We start from the raw sequence: 8,651 nt of genomic DNA, 5'->3' as shown, positions 1-8,651 counted from the left end.
GCTCTAGACATACTCTCTCCAATTTGGTGGCCACAAGCCACATGTGGTTATTGAACACTTGAAATGTGGCTAATCTAAGTAGAGCTGTGAAATATACTGGGTTTTGAAGACTTCATTCAAAAACAAAGGAAGTAAAATATTTCATTAAAGTTTTAAAATTGTGATTATATGTTGAGATGATGGTAGTTTAGATATATTGAGTTAAATATAGTATACTTTAAAAATTAATTGTACTAGTTTCTTTCTACCTTTTTAAAAATGTAGCATACACAAAATTTAAAATTACATATGTGGCTCACTTTTATGTCTGGCATTTTTATCAGATGGCACTGCTCTATATAGCCACTGCCAGACAGAGTTGGCATACAGGATGAAACCTATTTGCCATGTCAGGTCTGAGCAGCAGTGCCATGTTTCCCCAGCTATGGAGCTAAATAGAGATTTTCCACCTTATTTTTTAAAGAACACTTTGTTAGAACAGTTGGTTGCAAAGCATTTTTAAAATGCAAAACTGAAAGATAGTATCTCTATAGCAAATAACTTTGTAAATGTGGGGAACAAATCATAGATTTGGAGGATGATGAAAAGGACTACAAAAATCATTTTGCAGAGACTTCGTAGTTCATTGATTAAGGAGTTAAGGCCCAGGTAATGAAGAAGCTTTCCTAAACTCACATAGAGCTCTTTGAATACGACCCCACTCCCACTATGCCCCACTGCTACCCCAGCAATGCATCATTGTTTTGACTCATTCGCATTCCTAAAGTTATTTATAGACCGTGACCAGGTGGTTTTGTAACATAATGCTCTTTTCTCAACTTAAGAGTCCGTAGTCCTTTCCACGGTCCTTATTTAATATCCTGTAGCTCTTTCATTCTCTGAGTCCTTCCTAGAGACCAGAGAGCAATATACGTTGTCTTTCCACCATCTCTTTACCCTCCTTCCTCCTCAGTAGTAGTGAGAGAATGAAGTTCACGTAAGTGTTTCTCTATAAGTCTCAGAGCATAAACCACTATTTCCAAAGGTTTATTTTCCAAATACGTTTTCCTGCAAGTTAACCGTTTAAAATGAAAGGGGAAATACACAACTCATTTCTTGACTTTCTTCTCTTCTATCAAGATGATTTCAACCCATGAAAATTAAAGACCAAAGACAGGGTTTTCACTGGTTCCCTTGGCAACAACTCCATCACAAACTTTCTTCTAATACAAACTTCTTCCTATTAAAGGGACTGTGTGTCATTTCTATATAAAAAAACTTTTTATAGTAACATTTTAAACAGGTTAGGACAGATTTGGGGACCGGTTTTTTTCTTTTCACTAGTTTCATACCATTCATTTCATCAGGACCTGGAGACCTGAGGATCTGTATTCCTCAGAGGAATAAAGACGTTTTTCTCACCTTGTTTCCCCTTGGACTAATTATCTAGGAGGGTCCCCTTCTGTGGCAAGGAAGGGAAGGCTCAATAGATTTGGCAGGAGACACTTGTGACACTATCAGATGGGGCTCAGAAAAGGAGTTAGGAGTAAGGGGCAAATTTTTTTTAAAGGAACAAAGCTTAGGTATTTTTTAAGATGCTGATTTAGTGGGTTATTGAAAATGCTGCCCACATAGCCTTTTAACCCTCAAAGATATCAGATAACTTTTTTCTTGCAGTGAGATGAAGTGGCTGTCATTATCTCCGAAGGTCTGTATCATATTGGAATCTGTCAGTGCAGGTCAGGGAGTCCGCGGTGCTCTGGGCCCAGCTCGGGGACTGAATTACATTTCCCCAGCACAATGGCCGCAGAATGGGTGGGTGCTTTGTCATTTAAACTGCATAAAGAGGCAGAAATTGATTTTTATTGTGGATCTTCATATCTAATAAAGCTCCAAGGGGCTCTTTTCTTCTCCGATTGAATAGCCATTGAATGCTTTCAATCTAGTTCTGTGTTTCATGCCTAAACTGAATAGCAGGAAGGCAGAAAATAGATGGGGGAAAAGAGGCCAAGTCACTTTCCAGATTGAAAAGGATATGGCAGAGAAATAAATAAAAAAAAATAAAATAAGACTATTTGGAAAAGCATTTAAGTGGAAAGGGGAACTTTCTTGATGTTCTGGGGGGGAAATTGCTTTTTGAGGTGTGTGTGCATGTGTGTGTGTGTGCGTGCACGCACACGTGCAAATCCACTTACAGGTATGTGTGGGCAATCAGAGTAGTTTATGTGCAAGTATAAAAATCTATTTATGGTCAACTGACCAGAGCTAAAGTACTAACCACAAACTTACCTCTGAAAGCCTACTCTGCCTGTCCTAGGGCACCCAGCCCAAAGAAACAGCCGGAAGAGGCTCCAAGTGCAGAGGCTCCAGAGTGCGTAGAGCAGGTGAAGGGGGGCAATTGCTATTGTCCCTTCCGTGGAGGCTCAGGAAGATTCTTGTCCAATGCATGAAGAAGTTAGGAAATCCCTCAATTTAATAATCTAGAAGATATTCAAAATTCTTGTAGACATCTCCACCTGCTAAATCTTGATTCCCTCCCTTAATGGGGCTTCCTAGGACACAGAGTTATTAAGAGTTCTTTGAATTTTCACCCTAGCCAATCTCCTAAAACCAGTCACATCCAATGAGTCACCAAATCCCTAGATTCTACCTCCTTGGTAGCCTTGGAACTGCTCCAACCCCACCTTGGTTTTGGCCATCACAGATACTCTCCTTTTCCCCTCATTCCATGGTAAGTAAGCTCTTAACTGCTGCCTTCCTTCTGCCTCACCTGACTCTGGTCCATCCTTCTTACAGCTATCAGAAAAAGACTTTCTAAAACTGAACCCCAGTCAGGTGCCTCCTGTAGTTGCTGACATTCCAAGAGGTTTAGGATTTATTTCCCTGGCATAATGTTTTCCTGTTTTGCCTATTTTCACATCATGACCCAACACACGCGCACACACACACACACCAACCACCTAATAATTGAAACAATATATTCATGTAATACTTCTTCTTCCTATGTAAATATTTTCTGATGTTTTCCATTCTATTCTATATTTTCCTTTAAAATGTTAGTCGTGACTGTCTCAATCAGGGTTTCTTAACACAGGGTCAATGGGCACTTAAACAAGGGCTGTGAATATATTTCAGAGGGTTCATAAATTTTAATGGGAAATTTTACATCTTCATTTTTACTAGCTGAAACTGAAATTTAGTGTTCCCTTCTATTATTAAGGTAGGGAACAAACTATAGTAGTATTAGCAGTACCTGTTACTTTATCACCAATAGAACTCACACATATATTTAGCTCATTGACGATATCTTGAAATATTGTTTATGCTCCTCATTTCTTTAAAAATATTTCCAGGGAATTTTTCTCTCCTCTCTTTACTTATGATGCTTCTCCTAGGCCTTACCCTTTCTCACCCTCAATATTCTGTATATTTATGGACTGTGACACACCTGTAAGTACACTCAAACCTGAACACAAACACATAATAAAGCTCATCCACATATGTAGTTGATGTAGTTGTGTGCACATTACCATATACACGCAATCATATTTTCAAACTCATATATATACTCTTCCACACACCTAATTACAATTGTACACACACATAAACATACCTATACCTGTGCATACGCACGATTTCCCAGTTTTGCTTCTGAGAAAGAATTGTCAACTCATTCTCCTCTCTCTGATATGGCCCAGAGATGTGGGGCCTTCCCAAAGTCATTTCTCCCTTAAGAACCTGCTGGGAGCCACAGCCTGGATGCACCAGCACCCCAGTGGTCATGAATAATGAATGATACAGACAGACATATGACAGGGTGAGAGGTAAGGAGTTTTTATTCCAACCAGCCATATCAGTTGAACCAGCCCTCATTTTTAATACATGGCTCTAATTTATTACAACTTTAATGTTGTAGACAATTTTGCAAGTAACCTTAAATTTGGGGGAACAAGAAAGGGTGAAAATACACACAAAACACTAACATTCATTAACTCTTTTGAAATATAGAGTATTCTGAGAGTCTAATGAAAGTTATCAACCATCTCATCAGCAAAAAAACACATCCTCTTAGTAACATGAAATTTTGTATAGAATTTCTAGGTGTTCTGGACTTCCTAAGCTATGCCTGAATTGTAGGAAATTATTCCCCAAAATTATATAAAGGAGATTTGTGGATTTAACATTTATGATTTGGACAAGTTAGCGTCCCCAAAGTTCCATGGCTTCTCGTGAAATTTGAGATACAGTTTCTGTAACAGTGAATCCTGTTCTGGATGAAGGTGGCAGCGGCCAGTCACCAAGCCCATGAGTGAGCCCAGCTGCTGCCCACAAATCACAGTCCACAGTCCGGCTCTACTCCAAGTCCAGGCCATGATAACCCTCAAGAAGTGATTTTTTTTTTCTAGTGAAAATGGTTCTGAAAAGAGAGCCAACTGCTAGAGCTGGTGATGGAAATGGAGAGATGGGATAAAGTGATGGCTCCTAACTGAAACTTGGCAGTTTGAGTCAAGAGAAGTATGTGTGCTCTTATGGTTGGTATTGCTAATTCCCAAAGAGCTCAGGTTCTCAGCCATGTACATGCCTAGACTTGTAGGAATTACAAAAACAGATGTTGACAGGGGCCAGACGAGTACCATAAATGAGTGAAGCATGGTAAGAGACATGCATACAGCCTTAGTGGTCTATTATTTCCTTGAGAGAAACATGGGAACAAGAAAGAGTTCATTTCTTCTTTCTATAAGGTGAACAACAGCACTAGGAGAGCATTCAGTGACATTGACACTCACCTCAGTGATGAGTGGTAAGCAGGGAGTGGCATGGCCAGACAGTGCAAAGTGTGTGCACACCACCTGATCCAACAAGAAGCTGCCTCTGCCCTTCTGCAGATTGCTGCCCAGTGGAAACGCAGCCCAGGGTTACCACAGCTCTCAAATTTTTCAGGAGCCATAAATCTGGGTTGTTATGTGAAGTGTATTCTTTTCCCCCCAACGTTGTCTGAGCTAACTCTGTGCTAACAAACAAAACATGTATGTGAGCTGGGTTCCGCTTGTGGATGGCTGTGAATAGCCGTTTCTCTGCACCCTCCCCACCTCCCACACCAGTCCTCAGTGAAGACAGAAGCTCCAGGGGCACTTCCAGAGAAGGAAGAGATGGGCACAACTAAATTTAAAGCAAAGTGGAAATGAAAGTGGAGAAGTTTACACAGAAAGCATGTTTGGAAAGTGATGAGTTCTCAAAGATGAGTGCTACCCAGGCACCCTCACAGGGATTCAGGGAAGCAAGGCTTCTTTGCCATCCAGTTGGCACTGCCTTGGCACAAATAGCACCCCAGCTTCTAGAAATAAGAAAAGAGGTAGCTACTTGAGGCATTTCCTGGAGCTGCAGACTGTTTGAGAATAGTCTAACCATGGCTGTCTCCTTCAGGGTTTCACAGATTCATCAAGCATGTGATGCTCTTTCTGGCTGAGTTCTATGTACGGAACTGATGCATGAGGGCAGCTTATCCTCCCTGCCTTGCCTCGGAAACACTTATCTGCATAGATAATGCTGCTCTCCCTTTAGATGGGAGGGAGGGCCTGGGTCAGCATACCTGTGTCTGAGTTCAACATACACTACACTCATCCCAGCAAACTCAGCATTACCCTCCGCCAACACTGTTTGGGGTCATCTTTCTGATTTGGATTAACCTGTTTATATAAAAATTGAAAATATTATCCTAATTGAGCCATTCTCTTCTGTTCTCTTTCCTTCTCTTCCTTGGGTTTTCTAGTAGTGGCTTTATCACCGGAACTCTTAATTTTTCTGAACTCTTTCTTCAAGGGTGCAGGGAATTGAAAACATACTTTGCTTCATCTGTGTATTTTTAAAACCATATATTGTAATGTAAGTAATAGACGTTAAAGATAATTGCAAACTATTCTTGATTTTACTAGTGTTTTATTAACAAATCTGCCTTAATCCAGGATTAAAATTGAGTGAGATTAGAGGATTTTTCCATTCGCAGCTTGGAGCAAGAGATTCTATGCAATAAATGTGCCTCTTTGCTTGACATAAAGCCGTCCTATTATATTCCTGGCAGCACCGAGTGAGACCGACTCCCATCTGCCCCGCAATGCACATGTACATTGATAGGCAAGGGGTGCCCAGCACAGTTAAAGGCCTAGGCCTCCCTGTTCCCCTCAAGGTGTCAGGATGAAGGCCTCATTCTCTTTGCTTCTGTGCTTTGAGTTGCCTTTCCATAACATAGGACCTTTCTTCTGAATCTAACATTTCATTTCAACATTATATCACAGGGCATGTTATTTCAGCAAAACAGGCAGTGACTGGAGTATAAAGCACTTCTGCCTGGTGCTGCTGGTTTGTTCCACTGATTAGAGCATCACTAACAAGGGGAAGGTCACAGGGCCTCCATTCTTACGGGGACCAGTCCACAGTTTCCTTCTGCTCCATGGTCTGTGGCTGTACCTGTAGTCCCAATCAGTTGCTGCTGTGAAAATTTCACCATCCAAAGGATGAAAGGGACTCAGGGGGCCTCTCTTGTGGGCAGTGGGCAGCAGCGTCATATCCATACACAAAGGATGTTATTTTATCAATTGAAAGTCATCATTAGAGGGAAAATGCTATGCCAATCAGAGGTGACTGAAGACAAAGCAGGGCTAGGTCACCCCACAACCCAGTGACTATGCACCTAGTCACTTTCCTGGCCCCAACCTCAATCTGAACTTTCCTGGGAAGATACATCCTTTTCTTATGTTCATTTCAAGCACACATACAACTTCCCTTGTCATTTTTGATTCTATGTTTCCTGTTGTCATGTCAGTAATTATTGGTGGATGAATGGTGTGTATGCATTACATGTGCATAGGTGTGTGCAATGTTTATGTCTGTGTGTACCTGAACTCATTCTTTCATCCCAAAACCTATTCATCCAGGCCTAAGTCTTATGTCCAGGAATAAGTATACCATCCAGTAGTTTACCTAAGTAGACACGCTGGCTGTCACTTTCTCTACTCCTTTCTGTCCTCAGTCTTCTGTATATAATTAATCTCAAAATGCCGTCAAATTTACCATCAAAATGTCTTTCCACTACCCCCTCCCTTCCATTCTCCCTCCCACTGTTCCAGTTCAGACCACAGCCATCTCTCTCCTAGATATCTCCAATGGCTTCCAGTTGGACACTCTACTTCTGAAATGCCTGCCTGCCACCTCTTACCCATTTTCACTATTGCAGCCTCATTGATCCACTGAACACAGACCTGACCTTTCTACTCCATTATTCAAAAGTCTTCCATGGCTTCCACTCCCCTGAGAAGAGATTGTAAGCTCCTCAGCATAAAACATAAGAACCATCAAGATCTGGCCTGGCCTCCACACTGGCCTCAGCTCCTGCCTCCCATTACCAAGCGTTCCACTCTCAGCCACATCATCTACTCGCCATTCATGGAACATACTGAGACCTCTCAAGCTTCCATATGCTTACATGTGTTAGGTCCCCACCTACAATGCCTTTTCCCATCTTGTCCACATAGACGCTTTCTCTAATCTCCTTGGAGACCTGTCTCCAAGTGCCGACTTTGCTTCCCACTCAGGAAAAGCCAGCCAGACATACCTCTGGGAGGCAGAGGCATTGGTCATAGCACTTGCCTGCCTGTCTTGCTTGCTCAACTGAAGGACCAGAACTCATTCAGCTTTGTATTTCCAAGGATCACCAGCACACAGGGAGGTCCCATTCATTGATGCTGCAATTAGGTGTTGAGTATCTACCATGTGCTAGCAGTAGTAAGTAAAAAGAAAGTTGGTTGCCATTACAGTACTAAATCATGAATAAATTCTTGCATCTGTGTGTTGTCTGTGTAGTGAGCAAGAGTTAAACTGTAAAGAAAAGAGAAGTAGCAATCAGCAGGAAGGAAAATAAAGTTTCCATTCCCCAACCCTCAGATTTTCTACTTGTAATTTAGTGGATGAAATATTTAATAAAGAAGATTTTTTTTCATTTTTAATGAGGTGACTCAGCATATAGATTAGTAATAATAATGATGATAATAACAACAACTAACATTTTTGGAGTGCTTGCTATGTTCTAGGCCCCATTATAAGAACTTTACATATGTCAGCCCATTTTTTTTCACACAACAATCTTAGAAAATAAGTATTATTATTTATTATTATTGCTATTATTATCCTCACTTTAGAAAAAAAGAAAGTGAGACATTTAAATGTTAAGCAACCTGATCACAGTCTTACAGTTAGTAAACATTGGAGCGGGCATGTGCCCAAGCAATGTGACTCCGCATTATGCTGTTTGCTTACTGCAGATGGGTGTCCCTTAACACATTATTGACAAGATGTGGACTATGATGGATCTAAGTCCATGTAACAAGGAGCTACCTGAATTTTAAAATAATATGGAAGAAAAGTGATAAGTATATATAAAAATCTAGGGATGGGGGGGAGGAGCCAAGACGGCCGAATAGGAACAGCTCCAGTCTACAGTTCCCAGCGTGAGCGACGCAGAAGACGGGTGATTTCTGCATTTCCATCTGAGGTACCGGGTTCATCTCACTAGGGAGTGCCAGACAGTGGGCGCAGGCCAGTGGGTGTGCGCACTGTGCGCAAGCCGAAGCAGGGCGAGGCATTGCCTCGCCTGGGAAGCACAAGGAGTCAGGGAGTTC

General features: G+C 41.5%; 1 annotated feature.

Moving 5' to 3' along the window:
* Positions 1,386-2,288: an enhancer, noted in NCBI's record as "VISTA enhancer hs653". NCBI's record gives its function as "enhancer in: forebrain[5/5]" and the evidence as "EXISTENCE:transgenic organism evidence [ECO:0001131][PMID:17130149]".

Source organism: Homo sapiens, chromosome 3 (assembly GCF_000001405.40).
Source record: "Homo sapiens chromosome 3, GRCh38.p14 Primary Assembly".
NCBI classification, from domain to species: domain Eukaryota; kingdom Metazoa; phylum Chordata; class Mammalia; order Primates; family Hominidae; genus Homo; species Homo sapiens.
The sequence above is the reverse complement of the archived record's forward strand: the minus strand, read 5'-3'. Positions and strand labels throughout refer to the sequence as shown.